This window comes from Homo sapiens, chromosome 4 (genome assembly GCF_000001405.40).
Source record: "Homo sapiens chromosome 4, GRCh38.p14 Primary Assembly".
Classification (NCBI taxonomy): Eukaryota; Metazoa; Chordata; class Mammalia; order Primates; family Hominidae; genus Homo; species Homo sapiens.
The window spans coordinates 150719773-150734391 of NC_000004.12; the positions used below are offsets into that span (position 1 = coordinate 150719773).

General features: G+C 36.3%; 1 protein-coding gene and 1 pseudogene across 9 annotated transcripts in view, besides 1 other annotated feature; one reads left to right on the forward strand and one right to left on the reverse strand.

Moving 5' to 3' along the window:
* LRBA (LPS responsive beige-like anchor protein) overlaps positions 1 to 14619 on the reverse strand; it is a 751293-nt gene that overhangs the window by 455338 nt on the left and 281336 nt on the right. The gene's annotated exons all lie outside the window — the stretch shown is intronic.
* Positions 1306 to 1844, forward strand: ZBTB8OSP1 (zinc finger and BTB domain containing 8 opposite strand pseudogene 1; annotated as a pseudogene).
* Positions 3185 to 3479: a silencer, noted in NCBI's record as "tiled region #7547; K562 Repressive non-DNase unmatched - State 15:Elon". NCBI's record gives its function as "represses a minimal TATA promoter and a strong SV40 promoter by Sharpr-MPRA in K562 cells {active_cell/tissue: K562}" and the evidence as "EXISTENCE:reporter gene assay evidence [ECO:0000049][PMID:27701403]".

The window sequence follows — 14619 nt, forward strand, 5'->3', positions numbered from 1 at the left end:
AGAAAAACTTACAGAACAAATACTGGTGAAGCAAGAAATTGAAAAATGCGGCTGATTCACTAAAACAGAAGTAAACTCGACTCTACTCTCTTAAATGACTGAGGGAAATGATTCAAAGCCTAAGCACATCTTCCCATGAGAACTGTCTATAGTCTAATGAGATAGAATGAACTTGGTAGAAAATATTTAACAAAATCTTAGAAAAAAATGAGGATTTCTAAGAAAGACTCCTCACCTATTTCAAATAAGCTCTTCCTCTTCATGATAGGCCATAGGATATTCTACAAAAATCAAACTGTAGCTCAGGAGAGGGAAATATTAGCTTTACACAGAGAATGGAGAGGGAAATAAGTCACTAAGATATCCTGTTGTCTAAGCCAACAGAATATCTGCACAGAGCATTCTAAGAATGAACACAATGGAACAAAAAAGTATGGTAGTTATACAAACATATAGCACCAATCAATCAACAAATAAGTTAATACATAAATTTAAAATAAAACGTTAATATAGAAAAGACAAAACATCTGATGAAAAAGTATCTCAAGGAGTAAAAGAAAATTATTCATGATTATTTTTTCTAATGAACAACATAACAAAAACATAATGCAAATAAGATAAAACTCAAAATAAAGTGACTAAGGAAAGAGGCTGAAGTCCTAAATAAACAAAATTAGGAACAAAACATAAGCTTTATAGACATAATAAATAAATTACAAATAAATATCCCGGACAAAATAAAACATTAAAAATGTACTTACTGGTGGAAAAATAAGGCTAAGGATCAAAGAAAGTCAAGCAACTAAGGAATAACTAATAGATGTGAAAGACAAACATATATCTAACATATTATTAAGTGTTACTAAGCAAGAAAAAACAAAATAAAGTGAAAGTGGTATTTCAAAGTATAATCTAAAAAATTTTCTAAGAACTGAAGGAAAAATCAGAATCTGCTGATTATAACAAGAAACTATGTCCCAGGATAATTTGATAAATAATGTTCAATACTGAACCATATTCCTCTTAAAGAATTTTTTGGACAAAGAAATCACAGGCAGAAGACACAAAAAGCAAATCAGAAATTAAGGGAAAATATCAGACTGTCCTCTGAAAGCAACATTCAAAGTCAGAAGATAACAAAGCAATGTCTGCAAAGTTCTAAGGGAATTTAAGTGTTACCCAACAATATTAAGTCAAGCAAGGCAGTCATGGCACAGAAAGAGGGAGATGTTAGAGATTACAATTTGACTGAGGAACAGAAGGCGATCAAGGCCAACTATCCTCCAGTTAATAGGAATTATGAGTATTTGGATCATACAGCAGATGTCCAGTTACACACATGGGGAGATACTCTGGAGGAAGCATTTGAGCAATGTGCAATGGCCATATTTGGTTACATGATAGATACCAGGACTGTGGAGCCTCTCCAAACAATAGAAGTAGAAACCCAAGAAGTTTCTACTTTTCTTTTTCACTTTTTAGATGAGTGGCTTTATAAGTCCAATGCTGATGAATTCTTCATACCCTGGGAAGTGAAAGTACTTTGTATTGATCAAAGACATTTCCAATTACAATCAATTGGGTGGAGAGAAGAATTTTCATTGTCCAATCACCCTCAGGGAACCGAAGTCAAAGTTATAACATATTCAGCAATGCAGGTCTATAATAAAGAAAACCCAGAAGTTTTTGTGATCATTGACATTTAAGACCAAAAAAGAAAAGACTCCTAAGAAGAACTGGGTTTTTTTTTTTTCCTCTTCCTTTTGGGAAGACAATGTGAATTAAATTCTATAGTATCTTATGAAATACAGAAATTGTAGAACAAAAACTTATAACTTTATTTATTTACTTATTTTTCCTGAGACAGAGTATTGCTCTGTCCCCCAGGCTGGAGTGCAGTGGCACGATCTTGGCTCACTGCAGCCTCTGCCTTCCAGATTCAAGCGATTCCCATTACTCAGCCTCCCGAGTAGCTGGGACTACAGGCATGTGCTACCTCACGCCTGGCTAATTTTCGTATTTTTGGTAGAGATGGGGTTTCATCTTGTTGGCCAGGCTGGTCGCGAACTCCTGACCTCAAGTGATCCGCCCACCTTGGCCTCCCAAAGTGCTGGAATTATAGGTGTGAGCCACCACGACCAGCCAGAAATTTACAACTTGAACTGTGACTTTCCAAAATGGAAAATTAGGGCATGTCCTTGGTCTGTGTTCCCCAAATAGTCAATCTTTAAAGAATTCTTCAATTCCTACGGGGCAGTTATGGTCCTTCATTTGTTGATCATCTGCTGTGGCAGCAAGTGCCTCATGCCCTTCCATTGCAATGCAAGCCTTCCACCCTCCCCTCAGAACAGAATGCTGATGTCAGCAGCAGCCTGGTGCTAAATCCAATTTGGAAAAAAAAATAATTTGAGAAAATATATTTCCACACCCAGAAAAAAATATATAAAGTTAAGCAGAATGCCATTCAAATATAAAGATAGCAGGCAAATATTCTTAAACATGGAAGAACTTTAAGTTTACAACACATATAAGCCCCTTGTGGAAAAAGAATAACCATGAAATGCAGCCAATTAAGAACTGAGTCAAAAGAAAGAATCTGGAAATTAAGTTCCAACTAATAAAGTTGGGGAAAATGAAGAGTGAGTATTGAATTCACTTAAATAAAGAACAAATACTCAAGTACTATAAGAAATGTGATTATAAACATGAATGTTATAAATTTAGACAATATGAAAATTAAAATATAACTAAAAATTAGGAGGTGAGGGGAGAGAAAATAAAAGGAACATACAAGTGACTAATATCCTCAGCCTCCATAAGAGAGTGTGAATTGACATATGTAACATAAAAATCAACATCAGAGGAGGGCAGAGCACGATGGCAGAATAGAGGCCTATCCCGTTTGTCCACCCTGCTGCAACACCAAATTTTAACAACTATCTGCACATAGCAAAGCACCATCACTAGAACCAAAAATCAGGTGAGCGATCACAGTACTTGTTTTTAACTTCATATCATGGAAAGAGGCATTGAGGGGGGCAGGAGAGACAGACTTGAATCACTGATGCCACCTCTGCCCCATCGCCCAGCAGTGGCCATGCACTGCAGACAGAAACTGCACTTTGGGGAAGGAGAGCTCAACGACTGGAGAACTTTACATTGGTCTCAGTGCTGCCCTGTCAGAGCAAAGAATAAAGCTATGCTGGGCTCCTTCCATAGAGGGAGCATGAGGACCAGCCCTAGCCAGAGGGGAATGACATATCCCAGGGGACAGAACATGAGTTTCTTGGCAAGCCTCGCCACGCAGGCTAAAGTACACTGGGTTCCTAGATAAACTTGAAAGGAAGTCTAGGACACAAGGACGGCAATTTCTAGGCTCCTCCTAGTGCTGGGTTGGGCTCAGGGCCAGTGAACTAGGGTGGCACATGACCTAGAGACACACCAGCTTGCGTGGCTAAGGAAGTGCTTGCATTAGCCGTGCCCTAACCCCAGGGAGTGAAGCTCATAGCAATGAAAGTTACTCCTTGCTTCTGCTTAATGAGAGGAGAGCAAAGAGTAAAGAGGACTTTGACTTGCATTTTGGATACCAGCTCAGCCACAGTAGGATAGGGCACCAGGCAGAGTCATGAGGCCCCGTTCCAGGCCTTAGCTCTCAGATGATATTTCATTTCTAGACACAACCTGGACCAAAAGTGAACCCAGTGCCTTGAAGGTAAGGATCCAGTCCTGGTAGGATTCATCACCTGCAGATTAAAGAACTCTTGGGCCCTGAATAACCAGCAGTGATAACGAAGGGAATATACCATGTGTCTTGGGCTTTGAGACTTACTAGCTTCAGGGGTGACCCAGCATATTCCCAGCTATGGTGCCTACAGTGAAATACTACTAATGTTTCAGAAAAGCAGAGGGAAAAATAAAGGGAACTTTGTCTTGCATCCTATGTACCAGCTCGGCTACATGGGGGTAGAGCAATAAGCTGGCTCTTGGGGTCCCAAAGTCCAGGCTTAGGCTCTTGGACAGCATTTCCAGATGTGCTTTGGGACAGAGGGGAGCTCACTGACCTAAAGAGCGAGTCTCAGGCCTGGCAGCATTCATCACAAGCTGACAGAAGAGCCCCTAGGCTCTCAGTAAACATCAGTGGTGGCCTGAAGGAATCCCCTGTGGACCGGTGGTGGGGGTGGCCACAGGGAAAGGCAGCTCTGCCTGTGGAAAGTGAAGAGTAGGAAAGACTTTGTATTGTGGTTTGAGTGCAGGCATAATGACAGTAGAATAGAATATCAGGAAAATTGCTAAGCTGTTTAACTCCAGTCCCTGGCTCCCAGACAGCACTTTGGACATTCCCGGAGCCTGTGGGAACTCACGGCCCTGAAGGGAAGAAACTGGGGCAAGACCTAGTGCTGTGCAGGTTTCAGGTCTAACCCAGTGCAGCCCTAGTGGTGGTGGCCACAGACTTACTTGCATCACCACACCCCCAGTTGCAGGTGGCTCAGCAAAGAGAGACAGACCCTGTTTGTATGGGAGAAAGGGAAAAGAACAAGAGCCTCTGGCTGGTAATCCAGATAATTCTTCCACATCTTATCTAAGACCACCAAAATGGTACCTCTACGAGTCAGCAAAAAACACAGCCTTATTGGGGTTGGGGTCCAAGTCCTTTCAAATACCTGGAAAGCCTTCCCAAGGACAACAGTCACAAACAAGCCCAGACTGTGAAGACTACAATAAATACCTAACTCTTCAATGCTCATACACTGAAGAACATTAGCAAGTATAAACATCATCCATGAAAACATGACCTCACCAATGAACTAAATAAGGCACCAGGAACCAATTCTGACGAAACAGAGACATATGACAACTAAGATAGTTAATTCAAAATAGCTGTTTTGAGGCAACTCAAAGAAATTCAAGATAACACAGAGAAGAAATTCAGAATTTTATCAGATAAATTTAACAAAAGGATTAAATTTTTTTTTTAAATCAAGCAGAATGAGTAGGGAGGTGGAGTTTACAGTGAGTTGATATCCCACCACTGCACTGCAGCCTGGGTGATAGAGCCAGACCCTGTCTCAAAAAATAAAATAAAATAAATTTAAATATATGTATATATATACATATATATATGTATATATATACACACACACACACACACATACATATAGCAGAAATTCTATAATTGAAAAATGCAATAACATGCTGAAGAATGCATCAGAGTCATCAGAGTCTCTTAATAGCAGAACTGATCAAGAAGGAAGTAGTGAGCTTGAAGACAGGCTATTTGAAAATACATAGAGGAGAGAAAAAGGAATAAGAAAAAATGAAGCATGCCTACAAAATCAGAAAACAGCTTCAAAGGGGCAAATCTAAGAGTTAATAGCTTTAAAGAAGAGGTAGATAAAAAGAGAGGGGTAGAAAGTCTATTCAAAAGAATAATCAGAGAACTTTCCCAACCTTGAGAAAGATATCAAATTCAAGTAAAAGAAGCTTATAGAACAGCAAGCAGAAAGAAGATTACCTCTGGGCATCTAATAATCTAAAGGTCAAGAATAAAGAAAGGATCCTAAATGCAGCAAGAGAAAAGAAATCACATACAATGGTGCTTCAATACATCTGGCAGCAGACTTTTCAGCGGAAACCTTACAGGCCACAAGAGTGGCAAGACATATTTAAAGTGCTGAAAGAAAAACACTTTTACTCTAGAATAGTATATCCAGTGAAAATATCCTTTAAGCATGAAGGAGATAAAAAGACTTTCCCAGTCAAACAAACGCTAAAGGATTTCATCAACACCAGGCGTGTCCTAAAAGAAATGCTAAAGGGAGCTCTACAATCTGAAAGACAAGGATGTTCATGAGCAAGAAGAAACCATCTGAAGGTACAAATCTCACTGGTAATAGTAAGCACACAGAAAAGCACAGGATAGTATTACATTGTAATTGGAGTGTATAAATAAACCAAGTAGAAAGACTAAATAATGAACCAATGAATAATAACTACAAAAACTTTTCCAGACATAGATAGTACAGTGAGATAAAAAGAAAAACAACAGAAAGTTTAAAACTAGAGAGACAAAGTTACAGCATAGAGTTTTTATTAGGTTCCTTTTTGTGTGTTTGTTTCTTTATGCAATCAGTGTGAAGTGAAGTTGCCATTAGTTTTACATAACAGGTTATAAGATTGTGTTGGCAAGCCTTGTAATAACCTCAAACTGAAACAAATAAAATGGGTACACAAAATATAAAAAGCAAGAAATTAAATCATACCACCAGAGAAAACCACCTTCACTACAAGGAAGACAAGGAAAGAAAAAAGGAAGAGAAGTCTGCAAAACAACCAGAAAGCAAATAACAAAATGGCAGTAGTAAGTCTCTACTTATCAATAATAACATTAAATGTAAATGGACTAAACTCTCCAATCAAAAGAAATAAAGTGGCTGAATGAATTAAAAAACAAGACCTAATGATCTGTTGCTTGTAAGAAACACACTTCACCTATAAAGTTACACATAGACTGAAGATAAAGAGACGAAAACAGATATTCCAAGTCAGTGAAACAAAACAGAGCAGGAGTAGTTACATTTAATCAGATAAAATAGATTTCAAGACAAAAATTGTAAAAAGAGACAAAGACGGTCATTATATAGTGATAAAGGGGTCAATCCAGCAAGAGGATATAACGATTGTAAATAAATATGCACTGTATTAGTCCGTTTTCACACTGCTATAAAGAACTACCCAAGACTGGGTAATTTATAAAGGAAAGAGGTTTAATTGACTCACAGATCCATGTGGTTGGGAGGCCTCAGGAAACTTACAATCATGGTCGAAGGGGAAACTGGCACCTTCTTCACAAGTTGGCAGGAAAGAGAAGAGTGAAGGAGGAATTTCCAAACACTTATAAAATCATCAGATCTCATGAGAACTCACTATTACGAGAACATCATGGAAGAAACTGCCCCCCAGTGATCCAATCACTTGCCTCCCTTGACACATGGGGATCATAGGTCCCTCCCTCAACACGTGGGGATTACAATTCAAGATGAGATTTGGATGGGGACACAGAGCCAAACCATATCATGCACCCAACACTGGAGCAACTAAATATATAAGGAAAATATTATGAGAACTAATGAGAGAGATAGACTCCAATACAATAATAGCTAGACACATCAAAATATCCCACTTTCAGCATTGGGCAGATCTCACGGACAAAAAAAAAAAAATCAAAAAAGAAACAGCAGACTTCATCTGTACTACAGAACAAGTGGATCTAAAGTTATTTACAGAACATTTCGTTGTTTTTTTTTTTTTTTTTTTTTTTGAGATGGAGTCTTGCTCTGTCACCCAGGCTGGAGTGCAGTGGCATGATTCTCAGCTCACCGCAACCTCCATCTTCCACGTTCAAGCAATTCTCCTACCTCAGCCTCCTGAGCAGCTGGGATTACAGGTGCATGCCACCACACTCAGCTAATTTTTGTATTTTTAGTAGAGACGGGGTTTCGCCATGTTGGCCAGGCTGGTCTCAAACTCCTGACCTCAGGTGATCCACCTGCCTCAGCCTCCCAAAGTGCTGGGATTACAGGTGTGACCCACCACGCCCAGCCAGATATTTACAGAACATTGCATCCAGTAGCTACAGAATACACATTCTTCTCCTCAGCACATGGGTCATTCTCAGGAACAGACCATACGTTAGGTCACAAAACAAGTCTTAAAACACTCAAAAAACCTGAAATATCAAGCATCTTCTCTGACCACAATGAAATATAACTACAAATCAATAATAACAGGAATATTAAAAACTATACAAATATATTGAAATTAAACAATATGTTCCTGAATCACCAGTGTAATGATGAAGAAATTAAGAATAAAATTGAAAAACTTCTTCAAACAAATGATAATAAAAACACAACATACTAAAGCATACAGGATACAGCAAAAGCACTATTAAGAAGAGAATTTATAGCTATAAATGCCCGTGTCAAAAAAAAAGAAAATCTTCAAATAAATAACCTAATAATGCATCTTAAAGAACTAGAAAAGTAACAGTAAACTGAACTCAAAATTAGTAGAAGAAAAGAAATACTTAAGTTCAGAGCAGAAATAAATGAATTTGAAATGAAGAAAACAATACAGAAGAGTGATTAAACAAAAAGTTGGCTTCTTGAAAAGATAAACAAAATTGGCAACCTTTTAGTGAGACTAAGAAAAAGAGAAGATCCAAACAAATGATATCAGATATGAAAAGGGAGACATTACAACTGATACGGTAGAAATTCAAAGGATCATTAGTGGCTACTATGAGCAACTATATGTCAATAAATTTGGAAAATCTAGAAGAAATGGATCAATTCCTAGATACATAAACCTACCAAGATTGAACCATTAAGAAATCTAAAACCTAACAGACCAATAACAAGTGACAAGAGTGAAGCCTTAATAAAAAGTATCCCAGTAAAGAAAAGCCTGGGGCCAGATGGCTTCACTGAATTCTACCAAACATTTTAAGAACTAATACCAATCCTACTCTAAGTATTCCAAAAAATAGAGGAGGGAAGAATTCCACACTAATTCTACAAGGCCAATATTACCCTGATACCAAAATCAAAGACATATTAAAAAAAGAAAACTATAGGCCAATCTCACTGGTGAATATTGATGCAAAAATCCTCAAGAAAATACTAGCAAGCTGAATTTAAAAATACATTAAAAAGGTCATTAATCATGACCAAGTGGGATTTATCCTAGGGGTGGAAGGATGGTTCAATGTATGCAAATCAATCAATCAATGTGATACATGATATCAACAGAATGAAGGATAAAAAAATGATCATTTCAATTGATGCTGAAAAAGCATCTGATAAAGTACAACATCCGTTCATGATAAAAACCCTCAAAAAAAAAAAACGTGATACAAATGGAATATGCCTTAACATAATAAGCCATATATGACAGACCCACAACCAGTATCATACTGAATGGAGAAAACTGAAAGCATTTCCTCTAAGATCTGGAACATGACAAGAACATGTACTTTCACCACTATTATTCAACATAGAACTGGAAGCCTTAGCTAGAGTAATCCAACAAGAGAAGGAGATAAAGAGCATTTAAATTGGAAAGGAGTAAGTCAAATTATCTTTATTTGCAGATGATGTGATCTTATTTTTAGAAAAACCTAGAATCCACCAAAAAACTATAAGAACTGATAAACAAATTCAGTAAAGTTGCAGTATACAAAAACCAACATACAAAAATGAGTAGTGGCCAGACATGATGGCTCATGTCTATAATCCCAGCACTTTGTGAAGATAAGGAGGTGGACTGCTTGAGCCCAGGAGTTCGAGACCAGCTGGGCAACATGGTAAAACCCTGCCTCTATAAAAAACACAAAAATTAGCCGGACATAGTGGCACATGCCTGTAGTGACAGCTACTCAGGATACTGAGGTGGGCAGACTGAGCCCAGAAGCTCAAGGCTGCAGTGAGCCATGACTGTCACTGCAACCCAGCCTGGGTGACAAAGTGAGATCCCATCTCAAGCAATCAATCAATATCAGTAGCATATCTATATGCCAACAGTGAACAATCTGAACATGAATTCAAAAAAGTAATCCCATTTACAATAGAAACATACAAAATTAAATACCTAGAAATAAATTTTACAAAAGTGGTGAAAGATCTCTATAATAAAAACTATAAATCACTGATAAAAGAAATTGAAGAGAATATAAAAAAATGGAAGGATATTCTATGTTTATGGATTGGAAAATCAATACTGTTAAAATATCCATATTAAACAAAGTAATCTACAGATTCAATGCAATCTCTATCAAAATACTAATGACATTCTTCAAAGAAATAAAACAAAACCCTAAAATTTATGTGGAATCACAAGAGACTCAAAATAGCCAAAGCTATCCTGAGCAAAAAGAATAAAACTGGAGGAATCAGATTATCTGACTTCAAATTATATTACTGAGTTATAGTAACCAAAACAGAATGGTATTAGAATAAAAACAGACACATAAACCAATGGAACAAAAAGAGGACCCAGAAACAAATCCACACAGCTACAGGAAATGAATTTTCAACAAAGGTGCCAAGAACAAACATTGGAGAAAAGACACTCTCTTCAATATATGGCACTGGGAAAGCTAGTTATCCATATGCAGAAGAATGAACCTTGATCCCTACACCTCACACCTTATGTAAAAATCAAATCAAAATAGATTAAAGACTTAAATCTAAGACTTCAAACTGTGAAACTACTACAAAAAAAACTGAGGAAACTCTCCAGGACATTGGTCTGAGCAAAAATTTCTTCAGTAATACCCCATAGTCACAAGCAACCAAAGCAAAAATGAATAAATGGGATGATATCAAGTTAAAAAGCTACTGCAGAGCAAAGGAAACAGTCAACAAAGTGAAGAGACAACCCATAGAATGGAAGAAAATATTTGCAAAGCTACCCATCTGACAAGAGATTAATAAGCAGAATATGTAAATAACTCAAACAACTGTATAGGAAAAAGTAATAATCCAATTTAAAAATGGGCAAAATATTTGAATAGACGTTTCTCAACAGAAGACATATAAATGGCAAACAGGCACATGAAAAGGTGTTCAGGCCGGGTGCAGTGGCTCATGTCTGTAATGCCAGAACTTTGGGAGGCCAAAGCAGGCAGATCAATTGAGGCCAGGAGTTTGGGACCAGCCTGGCCAACATGGTAAAATCCCATCTCTACTAAAAATACAAAAATTAGCTAGGCATGATGGCACAGGCCTTTAATCCCAGCTACTTGGGTGGCTGAGCCATGAGAATCCCCTGAACCAGGGAGGTGGAGGTTGCAGTGAGCCAAGATCGCATCACTGCACTCCAGCCTGCGTGACAGAGTGAGGCTCTGAAAAAAAAAAAAAAAAAGAAAGAAAAGAAAAGAGAAAAGAAAGAAAAAGTGTTCAAGGGCCAGGCACTGTGACTCACACCTGTAATCTCAGCACTTTGGGAGGCTGATGAAGGCAGATCACTTGAGGCCAGGAGTTCAAGACCAGCCTGACCAACACAGCGAAACCCCATCTCTACTACAAATAGAAAAATTAGCCGGGTGTGGTGGCACAGGCCTGTAATCCCAGCTACTTGGGTGGCTGAGTCATGAGAATCGCCTGAACCAGGGCAGTGGAGGTTGCAGTGAGCCAAGATCATGTCACTGTACTTCAGCCTGGGCAACATAGCAAGACTCTGTCTCAAAAAACAAAACAAAACAAAAGATGCTCAAAATCATTGATCATCACAGAAATGCAAATCAAAAGTACCATGAGATATCATCTCACTCGAGTTAAAATGGCTTGTATCCAAAAGTCAGGTAATAACAAACGCTGTCGAGGATGTGGAGAAAAAGGAACCCACATACACTATTGGTGGAGTGTAAATTAGTAAAAACCACCATGAGAACAGTCTGGAGGTCCCTCAGAAAACTAAAATAGAGCTACCGTATGATCCAGCAATCCCACTGCTAGGTATATATCCAAAAGAAAGGAAATCAGTATATTGAAGATATATCTGTACTCTCATGTTTGTTGCAGCACTGTTTACAATGGCTAAGATTTAGAAGCAACCTATATGTCCAGCAAAAGATGAATGGATAAAGAAAATGTGGTACTTACACACAATGGAGTACTAGTCAGCCATAAAAAGGAATGAGATTCTTTCCCATTTGCAACAACATGGATGAAAATGGAGATCATTATGTTAAGTGAAATAAGCTATGCGCAGAAAGACAAACATCGCATGTTCTCACTTATTTGTGGGATCTAAAAATCAAAACAATTGAACTTGTTCAGTTGAACTCTGAACAATTGAACTCTGAGTTCAAAACAGTTTTACTCAGAGAGACAGTAGAAGGATGGTTACCAGAGGCTAGGAAGGGTAGTGAGGGTGTCACGGGTAGGTGACGATGATCTATAGGTATAAAAAAAACAGAACAAATGAGTAAGATCTAATATTTGATAGCACAACAGGAGACAATAGTCAATAATAATTTAATTGTGCATTTTAAAGCAACTAAAATGGTGTATCTGGATTGTTTGTAACCCAAAGGATAAATACTTGAAGAGATGGATACCCAATATTCCATGATGTGATTATTATGCACTGCATTCCTGTACCAAAATATCTCATGTACTACATAAATATATATACCTACTATGTACCCACAAATATTACAACGAAAAGAAATAATAAAAAATCAATGACATAATTACACTGAAAATAATTAACTAAAATGGCTTGGTGGAATTCTATGTCAAAACTCATGTTTAAAAACTGAAGCCATCAACCTCTTAATTTTTTCATAATTTATTAACCTTCTATTCTTTCAGAAAATAATTTTCCTTTACTTAAAGAAACATTTCCTTGTTTTTTCCATAATTATTATTTTGCTAAATTTTATACAATACTGCAATAAATAGCCATGTATACCTATCTTTAAATACTATTATTTTTAATTCCTAACAGATATATTCACAAAAATAGGATTACTCGGTAAATGGGTATTTGCATGTTTGTGAGTGTCAATGTAATTTTTTAATAGCTATGACTATACTGCTTTCCCTTAAGACTAAAAATGTACTTTCTGTTAACAATACAAAAGAACAGCATTGCCCATTTCATCTCTCTTATTCACTTCAACAGTACGTTATCATTCTTTTTACTGTCTCTCAACCGAAGAACGGAAAATTGATAGATAATAATTTATCTAATTTACATAGGAATCCTTTTCATATGTTTACTGGTCACTTTTAGGTTCTTTTGTGAATTTCTTATTGATATCATCTGAGTTTCTGTCTATTGGGTTGTTTTTCTTATAAGAATTATTAGTACAGTGAATATATTAATCATTTATCAGTCATAGGCATTATGTTTTTCCAAGTTGTTGATGGTATCTTTCCTCCACTTAATGTTATAGGTAGTAATAGATGTCTACTTTTTTATTTCTACTTTCTAAATATCCTACATTTTGGTTATCAAATTCACACATATGCCCAAGTTCTACTTTTACAGTTTTCCAAATATGTTTCTGAAGTATTTATCATGTCATCTTCCTCCCTATTGCTTATTTCATCTGGAAGAATTTTAATATATGCTGTCTTTTTAGTGATGTTTTAATTTCTGGAGAGGCAAGTATATCCCATTACTTTTTCACAAATTGTAGGACTACATTAAAGCATTTATTTTCCCACATTAACTGAATATTTAAATATCCAAATATAATAGTTGTGTCTTAAATTTGTTATAAAGAATATTTAAATGTCAAATCAACTCTACTGTTATTTTAATGGAGTGCTTTACTAATGGATATTGCACTGAGTTTACATACTGACTTGAGAAAAATGAACATTTTTGTGACGTAAAATTTTCTCTCTTTGGCTATAAAAGACAGTGTGGAGTCTTTTTTCCAGTTGGAAAACTGGAAAAATACAAGTAATGTTGGTATATTAAGTAACAGCATCCTGCCAATGTTAATTTTCTGATTTTGATAACTGTACCAGATTAAGACAGAGAATGTGCTTAGGAAATTTCCACTGAAGTATTTTGAGGTAGAAGGGAATCCTGACTTTAACTTACTCTCAAAATTCAGAAAAACAAAGCATAAAGAGAAAGAGAATAAATGTCGTAAAAATTTAACAATCACAAGATCTGGGAGAACAGTGAATAGGAGTTCCTGCTTTATTCTTACAACTTTCCTGAAAGCCTCAAATTATTTCAAAACAAAAGACTGATTCTGTCTCTCTCTCTCTCTCTCTCTCACACACACACACACACACACACCTCAAGACCCCAAGACAGACTATCCAGCATGGAATTAGTTTATATTTTATCTTATTTGCTTTAATAAAATTTTGTAGCTTCATTCCAAAGAGCATGTGTACTTTTCTTGCAGAATTTGGCCCAAAACATTGTTTTTGTCATATTTATGAATACACTGTATTTCTGATTTCCATTCTTAGCTGGTTACTGACTGTCAAAGAAAAGCTATTAATTTTTTGCATAACTATCTCATACCTAATAACCTCACCAAATTCTCTTATTAACTCTGGTAGAAAAATGTTCAAGATCCAGGTACACCTCAGGACACAGGAATTAGATTTTCCTAGACCACAGCATTAGAAATTTGAAAGTAATCTTCTTTCTTTCTTTACTAGCATTTATATTAGCTGTATCTTGCACTTGCAAGAACATCAAAAAATATGTTAACAACAGTGACAGTAGGTATCACTCATTTTTCCTGATTTTAAAAGAGATGACTTTAATCATTTAAAATGATATTTAATAGTCTTTACCATATTTGTATTGTTTTCTTATATAAATCTTTTTCTGTGAGTTTTAATACGGCTGGCAGCTAACAATCATCATATGCTTTTTTTCTACCTTTACTGATATCTTCGTGTTTTTTCTATTTTTAATTTGTTGATATAATTTATTTTGCAGGTAGATATCCTAAAGTAAACAATTTTGTAATTCCAGTAAAAATTTTCAGTCATCATACTATATAATTCATTCTTTATATTGATGAATTATGTTATTTAAAGTTATAGTTTAAATTTTGTACTTATATTCTTA